This window comes from Homo sapiens, chromosome 3, assembly GCF_000001405.40.
Source record: "Homo sapiens chromosome 3, GRCh38.p14 Primary Assembly".
In the NCBI taxonomy this organism is placed as follows: Eukaryota; Metazoa; Chordata; class Mammalia; order Primates; family Hominidae; genus Homo; species Homo sapiens.
The window spans coordinates 87820343-87845681 of record NC_000003.12 but is presented as its reverse complement, the minus strand read 5'-3'; the positions used below and the strand labels follow the sequence as shown (position 1 = coordinate 87845681).

The window sequence follows — 25339 nt, the reverse complement described above, 5'->3', positions numbered from 1 at the left end:
CATTGAATCTGTAAATTACCTTGGGCAGTATGGCCATTTTCATGATATTGATTCTTCCTACCCATGAGCATGGAATGTTCTTCCATTTGTTTGTATCCTCTTTTATTTCCTTGAGCAGTGGTTTGTAGTTCTCCTTGAAGAGGTCCTTCACATCCCTTGTAAGTTGGATTCCTAGGTATTTTATTCTCTTTGAAGCAATTGTGAATGGGAGTTCACTCATGATTTGGCTCTCTGTTTGTCTGTTGTTGGTGTATAGGAATGCTTGTGATTTTTGCACATTGATTTTGTATCCTGAGACTTTGCTGAAGTTGCTTATCAGCTTAAGGAGATTTTGGGCTGAGACTATGGGGTTTTCTAGATATACAATCATGTCATCTGCAAACAGGTACAATTTGACTTCCTCTTTTCCTAATTGAATACCCTTTATTTCCTTCTCCTGCCTAATTGCTCTGGCCAGAACTTCCAACACTATGTTGAATAGGAGTGGTGAGAGAGGGCATCCCTGTCTTGTGCCAGTTTTCAAAGGGAATGCTTCCAGTTTTTGCCCATTCAGTATGATATTGGCTGTGGGTTTCTCATAGATAGCTCTTATTATTTTGAAATATGTCCCATCAATACCTAATTTATTGAGAGTTTTTAGCATGAAAGGTTGTTGAATTTTGTCAAAGGCCTTTTCTGCATCTATACAAGCCAAAAGAACAAAGCTGGAGGCATCACACTACCTGACTTCAAACTATACTACAAGGCTACAGTAACCAAAACAGCATGGTAGGTACTGGTACCAAAACAGAGATATAGATCAATGGAACAGAACAGAGCCCTCAGAAATAACGCCGCATATCTACAACTATCTGATCTTTGACAAACCTGAGAAAAACAAGCAATGGGGAAAGGATTCCCTATTTAATAAATGGTGCTGGGAAAACTGGCTAGCCATATGTAGAAAGCTGAAACTGGATCCCTTCCTTACACCTTATACAAAAATTAATTCAAGATGGATTAAAGACTTAAACGTTAGACCTAAAACCATAAAAACCCTAGAAGAAAACCTAGGCATTACCATTCAGGACATAGGCATGGGCAAGGACTTCATGTCTAAAACACCAAAAGCAATGGCAACAAAAGCCAAAATTGACAAATGGGATCTAATTAAACTAAAGAGCTTCTGCACAGCAAAACAAACTACCATCAGAGTGAACAGGCAACCTACAAAATGGGAGAAAATTTTCGCAACCTACTCATCTGACAAAGGGCTAATATCCAGAATCTACAATGAACTCCAACAAATTTACAAGAAAAAAACAAACAACCCCATCAAAAAGTGGGCAAAGGACATGAACAGACACTTCTCAAAAGAAGACATTTATGCAGCCAAAAAACACATGAAAAAATGCTCACCATCACTGGCCATCAGAGAAACGCAAATCAAAACCACAATGAGATATCATCTCACACCAGTTAGAATGGCAATCATTAAAAAGTCAGGAAACAACAGCTGATGGAGAGGATGTGGAGAAATAAGAACACTTTTACACTGTTGGTGGGACTGTAAACTAGTTCAACCATTGTGGAAGTCAGTGTGGCGATTCCTCAGGGATCTAGAACTAGAAATACCATTTGACCCAGCCATCCCATTACTGGGTATATACCCAAAGGACTATAAATCATGCTGCTATAAAGACACATGCACACGTATGTTTATTGCAGCATTATTCACAATAGCAAAGACTTGGAACCAACCCAAATGTCCAACAATGATAGACTGGATTAAGAAAATGTGGCGCATATACACCATGGAATACTATGCAGCCATAAAAAATGATGCGTTCATGTCCTTTGTAGGGACATGGATGAAATTGGAAACCATCATTCTCAGTAAACTATCGCAAGAACAGAAAACCAAACACCGCATATTCTCACTCATAGGTGGGAACTGAACAATGAGATCACATGGACACAGGAAGGGGAACATCACAATCTGGGGACTGTTGTGGGGTGGGGGAGGGGGAGGGATAGCACTGGGAGATATACCTAATGCTAGATGATGAGTTAATGGGTGCAGCACACCAGCATGGCACATGTATACATATGTAACTAACCTGCACAATGTGCACATGTACCCTAAAACTTAAAGTATAATAATAAAATAAATAAATTAAAAAAAAAAAAAGAAAAAGAAAGTCAGGATGGTGAAGGGCCAGTGGTAGGTTTATGTGGTATCTATGGCAAGAAATTTATGTTTGCTCTCAAGTTACTTCAAAACAACATGTATGATATAAACATCTGACATAATTATAAAGTGCACTCAGGAAGAACACTGCTCACATTTAATATCTTAGAATGCAAAATATAAAATATTTAATAACATCATGAACAGAATGCAGCAAAGCATATCAATGTTGTCTTTGCTAAAATACAGTTAAAATAATTTGAGCCTATGTTATTAAGACCACTAGCATAAACAAAAAGATTTTACAGATTACCTTCATTTTGCTTTTATTAATATTTTTGTTTCTGAGATTGTTTTTGAGTGGTTTAGGTTACAATGTCTTATAGGAAATGTGTAGCATCATTCCAGATGCAGAGGTACAGATAAAACCTCAGCGGCTTCAATTGCATGGGTCCACTTGAAAAATGGACTTTGCATGCTTTGAAGATAGAGGTCACACAAGCTTGTCCGAACTGGGAAACCTTTATCACAACACTGTCCTTTACCGAGACCTATCTACAGCATGTATAAAGTGTGTCCTTTCAAACCTGTAGTTGAATGTGTGTCTGTTGTTTTATCGTTCTTAGTGGCATTTTACAGCTTTTAACAATTACTTGATTCTGATCTCTGATCGAGGAAAATCTGTTTTTTCCTGGGGCAGTTCCTCACATACTAGAAATGAAGTGCCAAAAGGTTGTTTTATAAAAAGCAAGTCTTAAACAGTTTTCTGGTTTGTAATCTGTAGAGATTTCTAGTCTCTTGTTTCTCCTCCAGAAATTTGGATACTGTTTTACATTAGAAATTGTAAAGCCATCATATATGTGGTAATATTTCATTATAATTTCTATGACTTTAACAATTTAGTACTTGTCATTATTTAAGACGGTTTTTTTCCCCAGGAAATTATTTTATTGAAACTTAATCCTAGATATTTGAAAATCTAATATAGCTCGTGAGATGTTTCATAACTCATCTCAATGTGTTGAGTCTCTTTATAAAAACTATTGTTTTGGCCGGGTGCGGTGGCTCACACCTGTAATCGCAGCACTTTGGGAGGCCAAGGTGGGTGGATCACTAGGTCAGGAGTTCAAGATCAGCCTGGCCAAGACAGTGAAACCAAGTCTCTACTAAAAATACAAAAAAAATTAGCCGGGCGTGGTGGTGGGCGCCTATAATCCCAGCTACTCGGGAGGCTGAGGCAGAGAATTGCTTAAACCCGGGAGGTGGAGAATGCAGTGAGCTGAGATCAAGCCACTGCACTCCAGCCTGGGCAACAGAATGAAACTCTGTCTCAAAAAAACAAAACAAAACAAAAAAAGCCTATTGTTTTGAGTTGCTGAATTGCTAATGTTCAGAGATTTTTCATTTTCCAGAAGAATAAGTATACAATGTAACCTTAATGGGAATGAAGAAATTCTTTTCCAATCTAATCAACTTTTAATTTCAGGAAGAGAGGGGAAAAACGTTACTAGGAGTGAAGTCTAAGCAGAAGCTCTTGGGAAATCTTCAAAAGACGAAATTTATGTTAGTTTAGTTTTTTTTTTTTTTTCTTTTTCTTTTTTTTTTTTTTTTGAGACAGAATCTCACTCTTGTTGCCCAGGCAGGAGTGGAGTGGCATGATCTCAGCTCACTGCAATCTCTGCCTCCAGGGTTCAAGCGATTCTTCTGCCTCAGCCTCCTGAGTAGCTGGGATTACAGGAGCGCGCCACCACGTCTGGCTAATTTTTGTATTTTTAGTAGAGATGGGGTTTCACCATGTCGGCCAGGCTGGTCTCGAACTCTTGACCCCAGGTGATCTGCCTGCCTCAGCCTCCCAAAGTGCTGGGATTACAGACGTGAGCCACCGCACCCAGCCCTATGTTAGTTTAGTTTTTAAGGTCATTGAGCTTCACAGAAATCTAGAATTTCAAATAACATATAGACGATGCATTTTCTTTAAACTAGTTGCTCCACTGACTAGAGTTCCCAACCCCCTTGCACTTTCATATATTTGTTAATACAATTAGTGGGAGAATGGATTAATATTTTAGTTCCTGTTAAACATATAATGCAATCGTAAGTAAAAAAGAATATTCGCTGCCAGATTTGATTAAAAGGATTGATTAATAATGGGAATTTCAGGGACTAAGAAAATCCTAGAGAAGTTTTGCTTTAATGTTTACAAGAGACTCTATTTTTTATTTATTAAATTTTTAAGAGTTTTATTTTTAATTGACAAATAATTTTGTCATATAATAATTTTGTTAATACTTGACAAATAACAATTGATAAATAATTATATATTTATGGGGTACAGTGTAATGTTTTGCTATGAGTGTATGATGTAGAATGATTAAATCCGGCTAATAAGCATATGTATGATCTCAAATATTTATCATTTCTCTGTGCCAAGAATATTTAAAATCCTTTCTTTAAAATAAACAATACAAAATTATTAATTATATTTTCTTTGCTGTGCAATGAAACGTCAGAACTGTGTCTCTTATCTAACAGTAGCTTTGTACCCACTGACCAACATCTCCCCTTTTCCCGTCCACACTCTCTTCAGAGCCACTGGTAACTGTCTTTCTATTTTCTACTTCTATGAGTTCAATGTTTTTATATTCCACATACAAGTGAGATGATACAGTATTTGTCTCTCTGTGCCTGGTGAATTTAACTTAACATAATATCCTCTAGGTTCAGCCATGTTGTTGCAAATGACAGAATTTCCTGTGTTTTTAAAGCTGAATAATATTTTATTGCATATATACATCACATTTTAAAAATATTCATCTAATGATGAACAATATTGAGCTATTGAGAATAATGCTGCAGTAAATATGGGGGTGTGGATATCTTTTCAGCATATTAATTTCAAGTACTTTGGGTATACTCCAGTAGTGGGATTGCTGGATCATATGTTAATATTATTATTATTATTGTGGGAAGCTTTGTACTGTTTTCCAGAATGGCTGTGCTAATTTACAATACCACCATCCCTGTATAAGTGTTCCCTTTTCTCTACAGTATAAAGCTTCCCTTTTCTCCACATTCTCACCAACGTTTATTTTCATGTTTTTTATAATAGCCAATCTTACAGATGTGAGGTGATGTCTCATCGTATTTTTAATTTGCATTTCTCTGATAATTGCAGTTGAGCATTTTTCCATATATCTGTTGGCCATTTACATGACTTCTATAGAAAATATTCACAAACTATGCATCTGACAAAGGTCTAATATCCAGGATCTATAAGGGTCTTAAACAAGTCAACAAGCAAAAAAGAAATAACCCTATTAAAAAGTGAACAAAGGACATGAACAAACACTTCTGAAAAGAAGACTCAGCAACCCTGTTACTGGGTATACACTCAAAGGAAAATATATCATTCTACCAAAAAGCCATATGCACCCATTTATTCATCACAGTGCTAATCACAATAGTGAAGGCATGGAATCAACCTAAGTTTCCATCTGTCCATCGGTGGTAGGTTAGATAAAGAAAACGTGGTAGATATACACTATGGAATACCATGCAGCCATGGAAAAGAATGAAATCATGTCCTTTGCAGCAACATGGATGCAGCTGGAAACCATTATCCTAAGCAAACTAATACAGAAATAGGAAACCAAATACTGCATGTTTCCACTTACAAGTGGGAGCTAAACGTTGGGCACACATGGTCATAAAAATAGGAACAACAGACACTGGAGAATACAAGATGGGGGAGAGTTGAAAAAAACTACCTATTGGTTACTATGCTAACTACCTGGGTGACAGATTCATTTATACTCCAAACCTCAGCATCACACAATATACCTTTGTAACAATCATGTACATGTACTTCCTGATTCTAAAATAAAAGTTAAAAGTGAAAAAAAACAAACAAAAAATTCCAATGACTTTTTTTAAAGGAAAATATCCTAAAATTTGCTTACAATCACAAAAGACCCCAAATCATCAAAGCAATCCTGAGTGAAAAGAGCGAAGTAGGAAGCATCACACTATCCAACATGAAAATATATTACAAAGCCATAATAATCAAAACAGCATGGTACTGGCATAAAAACAGACACACAGAACAATGGGACAGAATACAGAACTCAGGTGTAAATCCATACATTTTTGATAAAGTTGCCAAGAATACAAACTGAGAAAAGGGAAGTCTTTTCAGTAGATGGTGGTGGTAAAACTGGACATCTACATGCAGATGAATGAAATTAGGCCCTTATCTTACACTATCTACAATGAGCAACTCAAAATGAATTAGTGACTTAAACATAAAACCTAAATTGTAAAACTATTGGAAAAAAACATAAAAAACATACAGAAAAGCTCCATGACATTGATCTAGGCAATGATTTTTTTGAGTATGAACCCAAATGCACAAGCAATCAAAGCACAAGCAAAAGAAAATAAAAAGATTAAATCAAACTAAAAGGCTTCTAGACAGCAAAAAAAAAAAATAAAAATAAAAATAAAATAAATAAATAAAAAGAACAATCAATAGAATAAAGAGACAATTCATGGATTGGGAGAAAATATTTGCAAATTATACAGCAGGTAAGCAATTAATATCAAAAGTATACAAGAAACTCAAACTACTCAACAACAAGGAAACAGCCTTACTTAAAAATGGGCAAATAATTTGAGAATTTTTTTTTTTTTTAGGAAGGAAGTTTTCAGACTCAGATTATAGCATTAGGGAAGCTATTCATTCCTTCTAGATTTTGTCATTAGATTTGAAGAAAGTGTAGTTATTCCAATTGTGTTTTCTTATCTACTGTTTTCACAATGCATGTGCACAGTTCAATCGGTTTTCATTTCAGTCCATTATTGAGTGGATATTGCAACAATTTAAATGTAAAACTCTTCAGCTACAATGCAACAAAAGGTAATCACAGCAATCAAGGAAAAATTATTGCTATATACAATAACTTGGATGGATCTCAAGGGTATTATGTTAAGTAATATAAAAAAAACCTCAAAATTTCACATACTATATTATTCGATTCATGTAGCTTCACAAAATGACAAAATTATAGAGATGGAAAACAGAGTGGTGATTATGAGCAGAAAAGAAAGAATTATGGAGAGAGGTTGAAGATAGATGGCAGCAGGGGATAGTTGGTAGATTAGGGTCCCTGGAGTAGCTGGCAAGGGTGGAATACAGGACAACAAGAAAATGTTTATTCTGACACTGGTAGGGTCCCTCTACCATTGACAGGAGATAGAACATTGTAGGAGTGGTATTTTGACTACCAGCCACTTCCTGCATCAATTCCTCCAGATAATCAGCCCTTAACTAAATCTTTCTTCCCTAATGGTCAATTTCTATTAGCAATTATTATATCATTAAGATTCTTTTTCTTTATTATTTAATGAGTGTAGCTTTATTGAAATTCGACTCTGGTTTCTCTCAAGAGAACTTAAAGTAAATAAGCATTTTATGTTCTGAAAGAAATTGTTCCATAATCTCAGTTATTATTTCCATATAGTATCCACGTGGACAAAATAAATTCTGAAAACATTTGAGTAAGAAATAAGAAATTCTAAAAATATAAGAAAATAGAAATGAAACACATTGATTATGGATAAGAGATAAAATATTTTTCAATAATAATTATACTGTAACAATAATATTTTATTGTCTAAAGTCAAGGAGGAGCTGTAATACATTCAATGCCACTTAATGCCAGAAAATGGGCTAAGTACCTTTCACTTAAAATATATGTGATATTTCCTATAGAAAATATGAGGTGAAAAATTAGAAAATTGTCACACATTATATAATATATGTTTAATAATAATAAATTATCCAATGTATTTAGAATTCTGTATATTCATCTATTTCTACTGTTAAACTGTGGAGGACATTTTTTGTTTTCCTTTGTGGAGAATCCAGTTTCCTCTCTCTGAGTAATGGTGCCCTGATTTTCCTGAGGGAAATATCCTTTCTATTTTTTTCCCTTGTGATTTGTGTGAAGTTGGACACATATTCAGCTTCCGGATTGTGAACTTGCCTCAGGTTGGCTTTTCAAATAATTACAATGATGCTCAATTTCAGATTTTTGCTGGAACTGTAAGAAAAGAGGTTCTCTGTCCTGTTGGCACTGTTAAACTAGTAAGATATAATCCTGGAGTTGTTGACGACTGCCTTATTTCTATAAAAATAATTCATAATAAAGTGAACACAGAGAAAAGCAGAACTGAGAATATGGAGAAAGAATTATGACACTGTGAGATTCTGATTCCTTGGCTTGTTCAGTTATGTAAGCTAAATTCCTTTTCTTCTTTATTAACTGAAGATTGTTTAATTGGTTTGATAATAATTGCAACTAAAAAAAAGCCTATTTAATAGTACTGAAAATGAATATCCATGAAATTTAGGAAATTAATATTGACTAGCAAACAATGTTAAGGAAAAAAGTCCTTCTGAATTCTTTGCAAACATAATAAGTCTGTGAAAAAATTTCATGTTTCTTATCACAAAAAACTAACAATATATCACTGATATGAAATGTTCTTCCCATAATCTACAAAGTATTATTTTATTTTAATGATACTATATTAATAACTTAAAGATAAAAGTTATAATTAATTTATAATTGTGGAACTAAGGATAGGAATAAGTAAATACTGAAGTACAAAAAGAAAAAATGGGCTCCAAGATTTTATCTTGTTTTTTGTTTTTCTCTAATGTTTCACCCAAACTCTCTGACCCTTAGTTTCAGAAGATGTAGGAGAGAGTTGATACATATATTTTAAAACTTTTTCCTCAGGGAGGTATCTGGAAGATCATTGAATTGCTTCTCTTCAGTGCTGTGAGCTTTTCTGAGATTGGGACATTCTGAATATAATATAATCTGATGGGAGATGTCAACATTCTAAGAAATACTAGTCTTTAATAAATTGCAAACTAATGAAATTTAAAACATTAAGAAATTCTGTAGCTTCACCTTTATTCAATGCTTACTGGATGACTCTATTATTCATAACAAATTGAAAAACCACTTATGGATATTAAAATTATTTTCCAAACAAAAATTGAGTGTGACTCAACGTGAAACAAAAAATCTTCTGAGATATTATTGTTTACTAGGACACATTATTATATGACTCTTAGCACAAAAAACAAAAGCTAAAAGAAAAAATATCCTTTTTCATATCAAAAAAACCCAACATCTCAATGAATGAGACTATTCTCTCGCTAATGGTAATTTTATGACTACATTAACTTTACTGACAACCTCAGATCTCTAAAGTAACAGAATAGAAGTATTGTCTTTCCTAAATCAGTGAATTGGTTGACTAGAATCACAAATATTCCCTGAAGGAAGCTGAACACTAGCATGGAATCCATCTGGCCAAGTGGGTACATGTTCACCACTTTGCAGATAATAAAATAAATGGATGATATCTCCTTTTCTGCTGGGTAGAATCCTGGAGAATAATATCTAGAATTATTATAGGTTTAGTGTAGTTTTAGTGTTGGTTTGGTGTAGGCTTAGTTCTTGTGACCATAAAATTATCAAGTTAGGGTCCTTTGCACTGGCACACTACAGCTAATGCAAGGGTCTGAAAATGCCCCAACAAAAGTTCCTCATTTGCTTTATAATGTGCAGACCCAGAGGGTACAGACAGCTGATAAGTGCCCAGGGAAAGCCTTATTCACAAAGAACAAAAATGGCTCTAAATAATGGCTCAAGTTATCTGTAATTTGGACATCTCTTTAGGATAATGTATGATCCAACCATTGATGAAGTTCATGCTAAAAAGGAATTTGGTCTCAAAAATACGGAAATGACATTTAGTCTTTTACGATAGGAATGCTACTTCTTGATTTAATACCAGAAGGAAGTACAGGAAATTGAAAAATAATCAGCCAAGAACATTGCTAACTGCTTTATATGCATGGTCTATTGTGACTTCTAAAGTTTTTGAGACAGATATCATCAACTACATGGCATCACTATGAAAATAGGGGTTCAGATAGATTCTTTAACTTGTGACGGCATCATATTTCATTATGTTGTAATCTGGCTTCATCGAAGTATAACCATTTTGACCAGGCTCAGAAAAGTCCCCCGATTGGGGTTTAATGCTCTGTGGTTGCTGTCTTGAGATTCTTAGTCATTTTAGTTTTGTATTTATATGCCATCTCCATATTTAGATCCTGTCTGCCCTGGGGGTGGGGTTGGGTTTGCGGGGGGGTCTTGGGGGTAAGGGTCCTTTGCCATTGCCAGGCATTTTCCTTTTGCCTTGAGCCCCACAAGTTATGTAGCCAGCCCTGAGCAGAGTTACGATTCAAATCCAGTTCTGCCTAACACCAAGAACCTCTGGAGCAGGAATCAAGATGTTTGGTCCAGAACGAAAATCAATTTTCTAGGCTTAGAAAAGTACGGAGAAAATGGCATTGAATTTGGAGTTCAAACACCTATCGATAATTCCAGATACATAATTTACATTTTGTAGCTCTCTGGGCAAGACACTTAATCTTTCTAAACTGAGGCATCCATAGACTTTCTGTAAAGGGTCAGATATTAAATATTTTCAACTTTGCAGGCCATATGGTCTCTGTTGCAACTACTTAACTCTACCATTGCAGCATAAAAGCCACCACACAAAATACCTAAACAAATGAGCATGGCTGTTTTCTAGTAAAACTTTATTCATGGACACTGAAATTTGAATTTCCTATAATTTTTATGTGTCATAAAATATTACCAACCTTTTGATTTTTAAAACAATTTTGAAATGTAAAAACCCTTCTTAGCACCAGGGATATAGAAAAATAGGCAGCAGGATGGATTTGGTCCTGCAGGTTATACTTTGCAGACTTCTGGTCTAAGCTATTGTTTTTCATTCATTCATATATCCATTCATCACTGTTCAAAGTGTGTTTATAACTGGACTAGGCATTAGGGATCAAAAGACATGGATTTGTATGATCTAGACCTTGAAGTTCTTAAGCGCCACCTCACGTTGACTTTCCCAGGCCTAAACAAACAAGTGAAAACAGACTAATGGGAAATAGCTTGGGAAAAAAAAAAAGAACTAAGTCTTTCCTAAAATAACATCTGCTTTTTAAGTCCCAAATTGTTTTCATTTTTAATATATGTATATATTCACATTTATATGAGTATTTATATGAGTATTTGTGCGCATATATACACATATACACACATACATAAACATACACATATACATGTATTATGCATACCTTATGTGTATATATACATATATGAATACACACACAGTATCTTACAATTCTGAATTAGAGATCCAATCACATTGCATGTATAGTATAGTGATTAGAGGAATCCAACTTGGGTTTTATATCCAAATATATCATCCCTGTCCTAGAAATACAACCACTGAAATAAATTACAAACAGTACTATCAGATAGTTTGCAACAGTTAGGAATACTCACCCTATTAAGTAGTTTCTTGCCATGTATAACACAAAATGTGCACCTGAGTTGAGCAGCCAATCTATATATTTTTGAAGATACAACAAGATAATTTTTCTTTAAAGACAATCAGAAGTGAACTTGTAAGCTCTGATTACAAAGTTATTAAAAATGGAAGTCAATACTTTTTCAGAGTAAAAAGCTAAGAATCTTCGTGCAAGTCTCAATTACGTAAAAATATAAGAAGGACTTAAAAAAAAAGGGCTTTATAGGCCGGGCACGTGGTGGCTTATGCCTGTAAACCCAGCAGTTTGGGAGGCCAAGCTAGGAGGATTGCTTGAGGGTGGGAGGACTGCTTGAGGCCAGGAGTTTGAGACCAGCCTAGGCAATATAGTGAAACCCTAGCTCTACATAAAATTTTAAAAAAATTAGCCAGGTGTGGTAGCTACTTGGGAGGCTGAGTCAGCAGGATCCCTTGAGCCCAGGAATTTGAGGCTGCAGCTAGCTACAATCATGCCACTACACTCCAGCTGGGCAATACAGCAAGACCCTGTCCCTATTTTTTTAAGTGCTTTATAAATACGGTATGGGGTCAACTGAGTTCCTTGTTGAAACAGTATACTGTTTCCCTGGTTCCAGCTCACAGGTTCTGACCCAAAAGGTCAGGAATGAGGCCAAGAAATCTGCATTTTTTTAAACAAGTAGATTAAGTTATTTTGATATAGCAAGCTCAAGGACAACACTTGGGAAATGGCTTTAAAAGAAAAATAGTTAAGGTTTTTAATTTTTATATTTCCCTAGTTCCAGTTTGGAGACATTCTGGATACTTAAGGGAAGCAGAAGTCTCTTCACCCTATATGCCTTTATCTAGAAACACCTCCCAAAGGAAGCAGAGTCTGCCAGTGGAAACAATGACAATATTGCAAGCAGATTTGGGGCCAGAAGAAAACACTGCTGAGAAAAACAGAGTGTTATCCTTTGCAGCTTAAAAATTCTAAACAAGAGGCAAAAATCTCTCATATGTAGCTTTTCCTTGACAGCTGGAGAAAGGTGTTGTTAAGACCCTCAGACCTTAAAGAACCTTTGAGTAAGGAAAAGGTGATTTCCAGACACGTAAGTCCTGTTACACCAGTCTGAATACAAAAGCAAACAAAACAACAGACGGAACAAAACTTGGCAAATATTTTCTCTATCTATCTACTTACTATCCAGAGGCTTTTCATTCCTGGAACTCTTGATAAAAGTTTCAAATAACTCAAATATAACTTTCAAACATTATTTTGTTAGTAATATGTAATCTTGATAATGTGAAATGTGAAAGAAACTCTGTGGCTGTCTGACAATGACACAGCTTGATTCTCTCCAAGAGGCCAAAGTTTTGGTCTGTATTCACGAATTCATTTGTGAACTAGTTACTCTGATGAACAATTCTTACAAGAAGGGGTATTCTGGCTGGGCGCGGTGGCTCACGCCTGTAATCCCTGCACTTTGGGAGGCTGAGGTGGGCGGACTGCCTGAGTTCAGGAGTTTGCGACCAGCCTGGGCAACAGGGTGAAACCCCGTCTCTACTAAAATACAAAAAATTAGCCGGGTGTGGCGGCGTGCGCCTGTAGTCCCAGCTACTCGGGAGGCTGAGGCAAGAGAATTGCTTCAACCCGGGAGGAAGAGGTTGCAGTGAGCCGAGATCGCGCCACTGCACTCCAGCCTGGGCGACAGAGCGAGACTCCATCTCAAAAAAAAAGAAAAAAAAAAAAAAAAAAAGAAGGGATATTCTTATGTGTGTGTTTTGTGTGTATAATACATATTATACATTACATATAATTAATTATTTCTACTATCACATTAATTTAGTGACGAAGTACTTTTATAAATTCTCTTTGCCTTTGACAATACTTTCAAGACACATGGAAGATACGGATTTTAGCTTTAGTTACTCAATACGAGTTCTCTTTTAGCTTCTAGGCAGGTGGCACAGTATAGTGGTTATGAACACAGGCTCTTGGCATTAGAGAGCTTGAAATTCTTACCACCTGTGTGATAAGTAATTTAATCTTACTAATTCTGTTTCCTTATGGGGATGACACTAGTACCTATCGTACTGTTAATAGTAATAATAGTGCATGGCGATGATTTTAGTACCTACTTCATGCAGTTGTGAAGATTACAATAATCCATTAAGTTTCCAAAAGTTAGCAATGTGGCTCATAAAAATATAAAATAAACATGTGTCAAAGATATTATTCAATTTCTTGATTAATGAGTAAACCAATCAGACGGCAAGGCTGAATCAAAGGGCATTTTGAAGATCTGAATATTTATAGGCCTTTTGAGATAATATTAGTATAAGATTTCTGGGATAATAATCTATAGCACTGAAGTTTGTTTTTCTTCTGGATAGAAATAATTTGTATCTGTGGGCCGGGCGCAGTGGCTCACGCCTGTAATCCCAGCACTTTGGGAGGCTGAGGCAGGCAGATCACGAGGTCAGGAAATCGAGACCATCCTGGCTAACAAGGTGAAACCCCGTCTCTACTAAAAATACAAAAAATTAGCCGGGCGTGGTGGCCGGCGCCTGTAATCCCAGCTACTCAGGAGGCTGAGGTAGGAGAATGGCGTGAAGCCGGGAGGCTGAGCTTGCGGTGAGCCGAGATGGCGCCACTGCACTTCAGCCTGGGCGACAGAGTGAGACTCCATCTCAAAATAATAATAATAATAATAATAATAATAATAATAATAATAATAATAATTTCTTAATATCTTTTAAAGTACAAAGACCCTACTAAAGTTAGTTACTAATATTTGCATTGTTATTTATTTTGTAGACCAAAATATTTTGTTCACCTTGATTAGATTATTACTTCATTGGAGCATGATGTTTGTCCATCATATTAGCAAATTCTTCTCATATATATAAGAATATTTCAAGAGTTATTTAGGGTATACTTAGACCCCACACTACCAGGAGCCAGAAAAATAGCTATGAATTTACCACATCCATAGATTGATTCATTGATTATTTTTTCATTTATCAACTGTTAATTCAGTGTCAGACTCAGAGGATATTGCACTGAATAGGACACAGTCCCTTCTTTCATGGAACTCCACGTAATATTATTTATAAGTCATATTTACTTAAAACTAATTTCTACTTCAAATATCAATACATGTGCCATAAACATTGCTTAGAGAAAGAACTCATTGTAAAATATTTTTCAGTAATACTGATTTTCACCCAGGAACTTCTTTATTTGACTTTAAATCTCTGGCGCAAGTCCATCTGTCTCTTAATGCAAGATACAGGTGGCGAAACAATGTTGGTGTTCACAGTTAGAGCTCTCTAATTCTACACATTTTTTTTCTAAAACATCCAAAATATTTTTCTGTGTGTAAAAATATAAAGATTCAGTGAGATGTTGCTAAATACACTTTAATGAGATCTTCTCAAATCCATTTTGCTGCCACTAATTTCAAGATACTTATTTTTTCAATAAAGGATTATTTCCATAGATAGCACGAGAAATCATGAGAAATTAATGTCTTCATGATGATAAACCAGAGCATAGGAAAATGAGATAGTGAATAATGAAGTTATATCATTATAATACATAGTTTTATGACATGACCAAGAATATTCCTATTATTCTGAAAATATATCAGTGTGCATATGCTGATGGACTTACCACTACTTCATTTACTTCAGTGAGTCCACACACATGAGTATTTTTTCAGTATTAAAAATATACTGCTTGGAGGAATTTACACACAATGCATAGATTTCATTTTATGTCATGGTTCTGAGGAAAACTGTTCTACCTTTTACACCAGAATGATATAATACCAGGACACATATATTTTTGCACACAATTTCAAGGGGCTCATAGACTCTCTAGAATCATATCCAGGTGAAGCAAGTATGTCACAAAAAGACTGTGTCAACATTAAATGTTTAACTACCCAAGAAGATTTTGTTTTTATGTTCTACCAAATTATTTTCAAAATAAAAATTCATTTCAAATGAAATAATAGGATTCAATTTATTTTGTAAATAAGACTAGAAAATGCTTAAATTAGGGAAATACTATTGTATACATCACACTAAAGACTATTTAAGGATAAAAAATTTTACACAAGCAAAAGTGATTAGTCAGTTTTTAAAGATCATATTCATGCTTCTGTTGCAAATATTAATTACTGGCTCTAATTGAGCATATCAGTAATCTATGATGTACTTACAAATTGTATATACCTTTGATTACATAACAGGGTAAATTACAAGAATAAATTATGTTTTTTATTTTATTAAGTAACATCATTATTTTTGCAAATTTCCTTTTCTAAAGGAAGACCTATATATTATCTCCATGAGCATAAAAGTGTGTTTTGCATGAGTGGCTGGTTCACTTGAACCAAAAAAGAATAGTTAATAGCATGTTTGGTGAGTGGAACACAAGTGTGCAAACATAGATGAAAAGCTCCTTAAGTCCCTCAGGACAGTGTGAATGTGCAAATGCAGTCAGAGAGATCCCTAAGGAAGGGGGGAATCCCAGAGGAATGACCGTGAAGGTTAGTGGTTCGACTGCCTTCTCATGAATGGGGAGACTTTCTCTTCTGCCAAATTTGGAGGACTTGGATTTCAATGTTTTAAGGAAGATCACAGCTTTTTAGGCACATTGTGCATATCGCATATGCTTCATTTGACAGTCTCAATACTGGATTTCAGATTCTGCTTGTTACATACAAATGTACAATATTACTTATATTTAAATGATAATAAATGAAACTGATTTTTTAAAGAAATTGGTGGATAATTTTCATGAAGCCACCCAACAATATCAGAGTCTGGAGACCAAACTGAGGTGCAGCAAACAGGCAGAAGGACATGTCTTTGGTTCTTTTCTCTTTGAAAAGGCTCATCACTCAACCAGGAGGTAAAATAAAGATAACCCAACACAGCAACAGCCATAGAAGTCTCCTTCACAGCCTCACAAATAAAGCACAGGACAGATCTTTTTTTTTTAACTTTTTTTTTTTTTGGTATGCTGACTTTGCCACAATAAATTTTTAAAAATTACTTGTCCACCCTAGAAATGAACCACATGTCAGCAAGTGGTTTTCTGTTGATGAAAAGCACCTGAAGAATCCAGGAAGGAAAGGGAAACATTTCTTTGTTTTGTTATTGGGAAGGGATGGATTTGGTAAAGTATGACATAGTTCTAGCACTGTTTCGTCCAGAAGGTTGAATTAAATATATTAATCTACATTTTCAAGTAACAATAGAACAGGTGATCTTTTTCAGAAAATCTATGCACTCAAAAAATGTTTTGTATTTAGTTCTGTCTTAGAATGTCTATTGCTATTATAAAACTAAAATGAAGATATATGTCATTTAAAATGTTCAAGGGTTAGATATGAAATTTGTGGTTGATTCAAGTGCTCAGGTTTCTGATTTCACTCTTTCTGGCTACTCTACTCAGTGCCTAATTCACTGCTGATCAGCAATTCTTCCTTGGGTGAGATGTCAAATAAAAAGTGATAAAATCCACACAAATTAATTCTTAGCTCTAAGCAATGTTAAGAGCTCATTGGGAACAAAGGTTGAATGTGCTCTTTAAAGTAAAATTTTGAATTATCTGTAGATCCCAATTTTCCATTCCCTGTTGTTGTGGACAATTAAGAGTTGTATTTACACTTAAACTGTATTTGTTAGAAAAATTCCTTTTAAAGTAAGAAAAAGAGGCTAAAAACATAAGCCTAATTTTTTTAGTGCTTAACTAATCGAACGTGAATGACACTCCCAGTTCATGTTATGCCAGGAAATATAAGTTCCTCATTTTGTCAGTTACAAAGTGGGTTTTTGAAAGTTCTCATCTACCAACTGAAGAATGCAGAGACATGCTATAAATTACCACACTTCTTGAGAAATGGAACAGAATTTATAAAACGATCTTATAACAAAATAAATAATATAAACACATCACAGATATGGGAGAGAACAGTACAATTACCCTCCCCTACCCAGATGGAACTATAGAACTCTTCAAACCTAGTGTAGATCTACCATAGAGTAGGCTTACTTGCTACATATTTAAATATTCTGCTCTCTCTGGCCCTTAACTGAGTGATGAAGATCTTGTGCAGGTAGCCAGAGAAGTTCATTAAGTTACCCCAGGAGAGAAGGGTACAGTTCCTGTGAATGTGTGGTGCCATTTTTCCAAGTTGTACTGAAACTATGATACAACAGCTGAATGCCAGTTATTCCTAGATCACCTCACCCTTTTCCAATCAACGAGGTTTTCTCTCAGGACCATCATGATAGGGCTATGTTTTTTGGCACCAACTTGCAATATAAAAGAACTTACGAATAGAATGTGAATGTGTATTTTGAAGGTTGTTAAATTTTGCTTCATTGCTTTCCAATTCATTTATTTACAAAACTGGAAAAATATGATTAATTTTTCAAAGGATTTTTTAAATAAAGGCTTTAGAATTTCTCAACTTTGAAATCTCAATTACAGAATGCTATTTTCATGCAAATGAGAGAAGCATACATACTGCAGTTTTCTTCTAGGTTTAAAGTCTTGGTGTTTAGAATTATATAAAAATAGTGCTTGCATAAAAATTACACTTGTTTATGACACAGGATACAAAATGGTAGCACAGTTTGACAAAGAAAATTCAGATAAGAATGTGACTGCCTGGGAAAGGAAAAAAAATTAAGTTGATAAGGGCAATGAAAATAATTATAGTATAAGTGGGAGCTGAACAATGACAACACATGGACACAGGGAGGGGAATAACACATACCAGGGCCTGTTGGGGGTTGCGGGGAGAGGGGAGGAAACTTAGAGGATGGGTCAATAGGTGCAGGAAATCACCATGGCACACATATACCTATGTAATGAACCTGCATGTTCTGCACATGTATCCTGGGACTTAAAGTAAAAAAAAAAAAAAGAAAGAAAGAAAATAATGATAGTGGTGGCTCAAACCTGTAATTCCCACACTTTGGGAGGCTGAAGCTGGCAGATGACTTGAGCTCAGGAGTTTGAGACCAGCCTGGGCAACATGGCGAAAGCCTGTCTCTACAAAAAATACACAAATTAGCCGGGCATGGTGGCCCATGCTTGTAGTCCCAGCTACTTGGGAGGCTGAGGTGGGAGGATCTATTGAGACCAGGAGGCAGAGGTTGCAGTGATCCAAGAGCACACCACTGCACTCCAGCCTGGGTGACAGAGTGAGACCCTGTCCCCAAAATAATAATAATAATAATGATAGCAACACCTTCCATTATCTACTATTTGTGGACTTTCAAGCACATTCTAGGTGCTGTGGTACTGTTCTCCATTCAAGGAATTTACACGGTAGTAGGTAAGACAAATAGTACCAATATGGCAAGATACAGGCTTAAAGAGACGTTATCGAAGTGCACTGCAGGGATAGGAACACTAAGCTGGAAAACACCTACTTTCTGAGATGAAGCAAAGGTTGGCAATGCTTTATAGAGAAGCTGATCTGAGAATAATGGGCGTTTACGGGATGTATAAGCAGGGAAAAGCATTCTAACTGGAGAGGCTGGCTATGGAAAGTACAGAGGATTAAAAAGACATGGACTTTATGAGAAAATCAAGCAGGTAAAAAGAACGAGTGGCAGAGCTGATTTCATAAAAATATGCAAGGGTAGAGTAGAAAAAGCTATGAAATATTTATTTTTGCTTGTAACTTAGGGGAAATCAATCATTGATGTATGAGCAAGAAAATAGCATGAAGAGAAACAGTTTCCAGCTGTTATAGAAAGAGGATTTGCAGAAGCATTGATCAAACAGGTTCCCTGAGACAGAATATGGTCTCACCCAGGTTCTCTAATACTGTTTGAGAAATAAAGATATCCTTGGTCCCCAAATGATAGCAGGACAGGAGAACTAGGAAAGCATGCAGAGTTTCTGCAGACAGGTTCTGGTACCATCAATGGTGCCTAGAAGTGGTAGGAGAATGCAAGAAGGAAATTATCCTCTAGTGAGCATTCAATACATTACAGCAAATATTTTTTAATACACATGATCTTATTTAGTCTTCACAACAATCCTATGAAATATGAATTATTATTTCAAAGTAAAACATAGTTAAACTAAGTTCCAGAGAGGTGAACTTATCCAGTATTACACCACTGATAGAGGTGGTGGTATGTCCCTACAATGGGATCTAAAACCCTGCCTGTCTGTCTGGTATCACAACTTACACTCTTTCTGTAGAATCTCCTGTCTCAAGTGGTACCTCTGTCATTGGGTATATAGCAGCAAGACAACCATTTTGCTTTCAGGGAGAAGGCTTTGTGACATGATTCTAAGTTAATTCCTCTATGGTTTTATGGGAAAGTGATGGTAGCGTTAGAAGACAGGCGAGTGCGACTCTGAGACTAAAATGGGTCAATTTTTAAAGGAAGCCATGGTACTAATGAAAACAGCATAAATCCCAGAAATATTTTGTATGATGAATTGAGAAGATATAGTGACCAATTGGATATATGAAATGAAGGAGAGCCAGGCATTAAGGAATGACTCTTCTGGCATGAGAGACTGGAGAAAGAACCATCAAACAACATACAGAATATAGAAGGGGAAACAAGCACCAGGTAAATATGACATGAAAGCAATAGTACATATTTTAGTGATTATTAGACTTAGGAGAGAGAAGTCAGGGATTTTACAACCACACATTTCATATATTTGTGGTAATTAATATATTTCAGGCTCAGGCAAACTACAATATAAAGGGCTATAAAACTCATTATCGGTAAGGTCAGGACAGCTCTGAGGACGATTATTTGGGATCATTTAAATATATCATACACAACTGTGAGTTCTGAAACAGACACTACTCTTGTGATGGGAGAGATGCAAATCATACTTGAGAGTCCATTTATTATAGCTGTTGTCTGAAAAGTTGTTAAGGCAAATAAGACATTACAAAGAGTAGGAAAACAGATTTATTGCTATGACATATTTTTATGTGCTTTGACCATTGCACAATTTGAAATAATTGGCATAATAATACTTCTTATAATCACTATTATCAAGTCTGAATATCATTTTTAGCTATGGGAAGAAAGACACAAAATCTGTTCGTCAGTGTAAAAATTCAGAAGCTAGAGAGGGGTGGCTGGAAAAATGAAAAATTCAAAATGGAAACAAAAACATTTTCTTTTGCCTTGTTTTGGGAGCTTTCATACTTATAGAATTATCTTGAGTTGAAAACAGAATTTTATTATTTATTTGAATTAATTTGGTAATTTTTGACTCTTTGAAGTCAAAAGTAATTCCAAGAATGTATTTCGTAAAGAAATAATGTGCTTATGAAAGCACACCTATACACATGTCCCAGTCCAGGACACTGATGGTTATGTGCAGCTGTCAATCTCATTCCCATCAATTCTAGGTCTGTTTCATTCAGGGATTCATATTATGGGTATCAATTCATTCTTTCATTCACAAGGTTTATTGAGTGCTTACAGTAATTGTGCTAGGCACTATTCCAGTCCACTATACTGACTTGAGAATAAAACGGAAAAAAATGTTTTCCTAATAGAGAGAGAAACATAAATTAACAGAGAAATAGAATTTATAGGAGGGATAATGCACTATGAAGAGTGATAAGTAAAAAGGCCTGTTTTACATAAACAAGCTTGAAATACTGGCCAGGGATCCAATCATGTCGCATTTTAAAGGGCATCATTAGGGATATGTATTGGAGTAGGATGCATAGGACTTGCTGATGGGTTGGACAAAGGTAAGACCCCCACATTTTTGGTCTAAGCAACCAAGGGTATAGTAGGACTATAATAGGAAAGACTTGTGGAGGAACAAGTTTAGATGGAACATCAAAAAGTTAATTTAGTACATATCTATTTTGAATCATTGAGTAGACATACAGGGAGAGATTTATAGCTCTTTGATATCTAAGTAAGAAATCATAGGGGATTCAGGGCTGGGATAAAGATCTGGGAGACTTCTGCATATGTTAGCTTTTTTTTTTTTTTAGGCGGAGTCTCACCCTGTCGCCAGGCTGGTGCGATCTTGGCTCACTGCAAACTCCGCCTCCCGGGTTCAAGCGATTCTCCTGCCTCAGCCTCCCGAGTAGCTGGGACTACAGGCGCGCCACCATGCCCAGCTAATTTTTGTATTTTTAGTAGAGACAGGGTTTCACCATGTTAGCCAGGATGGTCTCCATCTCTTGAACTCGTGATCCGCCCGCATCGGCCTCCCAAAAGTGCTGAAGTTACAGGCGTGAACCACTGTGCCTGGCCTGTTTTTGTTTTTTTTAAAGCCTGTAATCCCAGCACTTTGGGAGGCTGAGGAGGATGGATCACTAGAGCTCAGGAGTTCAAGACCAGCCTTGGCCGGGCATGGTGGTGCACGCCTGATGCCTGTAGTCCCAGCTACTAGGGAGGCTGAGGTGGGAGGATCACTTGATCCTGGGAGGTGGAAGCTGCAATGAGCTGTGACTGTGCCACTGCAGCCCAGCCTGGGTAAAAGCATGAGACCGTGTCTCAAAAAAAAAAAAAAAATATGGGACCAGTTGAGAAAACCTGAGTGGAGATATGGATAAAGAAGGGAAGAGAGCTGAAGATGTATTCCTAAAGTGTTCCAACATCTAGAGGTCTTGAAAAGGAAGATGAACTACGAAGTAGACTTTGCAGGGGCAAGAGCATCTTGAATCAGTAACTGTTGATATTCTCCATCATAACTGAGAATCAGTATACTTGGAAAATAAAAACTTTTAAAAAATAATACTAAGGAGAATGGGTACCATTGAGATTTTCAAAATCTAATGTATAGAATTATAAATTAATATAAACTGTTACAAAATTTGCAATAGACAGTACATTCCTGCCATCCATTTAATTAAAAAATCATTTATTAAATATATACTTTTAGCTTTGTGACAGTAGCTTACATGATATATGTCATGCTGTCTCTTAAAAATATTAAAATCCATATATATGACAAGTGACTATCCTATGGTTGCATTAATCTTCTAAATAATAATGTGCATTTATATAAAACTTAAAATTTTACAAAACATTCTTTGACTAACTCAGACAACTGTGTAAGATTGGGAAGGTAAATATTATTGTCACCATTTTCCTAGCAAGCACTCTGGATTCAGAGAGGCTAATTGATATGAATAATATTATCCGGCTAGGAGCCAGCAGATCAGTGACCTGAATAAAGATATTAGGGCACTTAATCCATTGCTGTTCCCAAGAGTAACATTTATTATGTTGTTTCATTTCTTATGTACACATATAATCAGAGGCAACACGTATGGCTTGTGCAGGTTGTGTATCACATGGATAAGCTATGAATGGTCCCCTCAGACTGGGCTGGGCAATAAGCAACCTGAGCAAAATAAGCAGTAGCTGTTCTTAAAAATCATACTTTGCCTCAAATAAACTCTGAAACATGGAGATGTAAGAGTTAAAACTAGTCTGTTATCCCACTGAGGATAGTTATCACCCTGCCAAATTATATAAAAGAAAACATTAAATTTTCCAAATCATTATTATAATTGAGAAGATGGTTAAATATAAAATCTGCAGGTTTTTATCTGATTTAGTATTTAATGTCTACCTTTCACTTTCTATAAGCATTTTTCTTAATTTATTTTTTCTTTGATTTATGTTCACTCACCCAAATGTTCTCTTAACACCATCTCCAAGTCTCCACCCTATTTTCCTCCAATAGGCTCCTGGACCCATCCTTCCTTTCACCTTGAAACACTATTGGCCATTAGTGAACCAATGATCAGTGGCTCTGGCCTTTCCTGGAAGCAGGAGTCATATGGACTTTCATCCCTCCAGTGTCCATTTTGCATTACGTTCTTTGATTTACCACATTTTTTTTTTCACTAATTGTCAATTTATTTTTCTTCATGGTTTAAAGCTGGGAATGCTTACCATACTGTGGTAGATTGAATTGTGGGTTTTCATCACCATTTCGTCTCCTCATGTTCCTGTTCTTTTGAGAAGTTCATGAAAGTTTCACAGTCCAATTCATTCTCTCCCAAACTCCTCCTTAAAAAAGCAAAGAATAAAACAAATCATTTCTTGTCTCTTCTCCTGAAATTTTCCCAGCCGTAATATACCCTGGCTGATCTGCTCAAACAATTGTTACCTTTCTTTCCCCCTCTCTGACCACTAACCACTTTTGAAATAAAATATCCGGTTTAGAAGTCAATAAAAGAAAAAACGTCTTTTTTGGGGGGAGATGAAGATCAGCTGTAATAGTTGCATTATAAAATGCATACTAAAGGGGAATATTTGGCTTATTCCTTTTGTAATTAACGTTTATTACTATCTACTAGATATTTGATTAGAGAATAAATTAGATAATTGGAATTAAACTTAACTATGACATTTGGGACAGTGGTTTCGCTGACAAGCTCCTTATGACACTATCATCCCTGACACCAGGGAGCATGAACAGTGTTATCAAATAACTAAAAAGTCAATCCCTAATATTTTGGGATTTGAGGGATGATGGAAATATATCTAGAAAGTAAGGGACATCACAATATCAACATCACGAACATTTTAATATAAAATAAGCTAATGGCATGCTACTTTCTATGTTTTGTGGGATTAAAAGTAGGGTATCATAAGGTGAAGACTGGATGTATAAGATAGGCTCAGTTTCTCATGAGAAGACAAAAACAAAAGCAAACAGATGATGCTGGCCTTTTCTATTTCATAGAGTAGATATGAGTACCAATGCAGATAAGGTACTTGGAAGTACTTTGGAAAATAAAAGATTCATACAAAAATATAACTTATGGGTTTCTGAAATTCTTTACAGGGGCTTTCAATTAAAAAACAGTGCAGAAAAACTTATGGATCTTAGAATCTAAACAACGTATTTAATTTAATTTGAACAATCTCTGTGCACCAAAAATAAACATCATTCATTATTTAGTATTTTTAGGTAGAAGTAAAATCTTGAATAAAGCACAACTGGTATGAAATATCAAATATTACCAAAGGGTTGGTTTATTCATTGGCAATTCTATTATTTGTTGTCCAAATCAGTGAGAAAATCAATTATTACCTTCAGTTGAAAGATAGTTGATTTGACATATTCAAGAATACTTACTGACTGACTTTTGATTTAGTCATATTTAGTACCACTCAAGATAAATTTTAATTTGATTTACCTGAGTTAATAGTCATGCAGAACTTTACAAAACATAAATAAGGTTATAAATGCCATTGTTACATGAATCTGTAAATCTTAGCCACTTTATTTTATGTTTATTCCTTCCCCATTAAGAAAGAAAACTGGTAATGCTAATCATAATAAATTTATTAAATTAATTTTAATATATACTCTCAAGTATTTGAGAGCATATCAACTCTCAAATTTATTACAATTTACCTTTTAAATTTAAAGAATGTGAAGATATTTTATGAAGTGCTATTGAATAATTATTCTAAAACTTTTTAGCATATATCCAAATGACTACATCTTTGATGGTATGTAACTATCCTGTTTCATATTTCTTGACATCTTGATGTCATATTGGGCATAAATCATGTTAAAATGGGTCATGAGCCGGGCGCGGTGGCTCACGCCTGTAATCCCAGCACTTTGGGAGGCCGAGGCGGGCGGATCACGAGGTCAGGAGATCGAGACCATCCCGGCTAAAACGGTGAAACCCCGTCTCTACTAAAAATACAAAAAAT

The 25339-nt window shown here is 35.5% G+C and overlaps 1 protein-coding gene across 5 annotated transcripts in view; it reads right to left on the bottom strand.

Annotated features, from left to right (window-relative positions):
- The window catches only part of HTR1F (5-hydroxytryptamine receptor 1F), a 201134-nt gene that overhangs the window by 148158 nt on the left and 27637 nt on the right, over positions 1 to 25339 (bottom strand). For all 5 annotated transcript variants that reach the window (NM_001322208.2, NM_001322210.2, NM_001322209.2 and 2 more), the window contains exon 2: positions 23558 to 23674. The gene's annotated coding sequence lies outside the window, so the exon portion shown is untranslated. The remainder of the gene's footprint in view (positions 1 to 23557; positions 23675 to 25339) is intronic.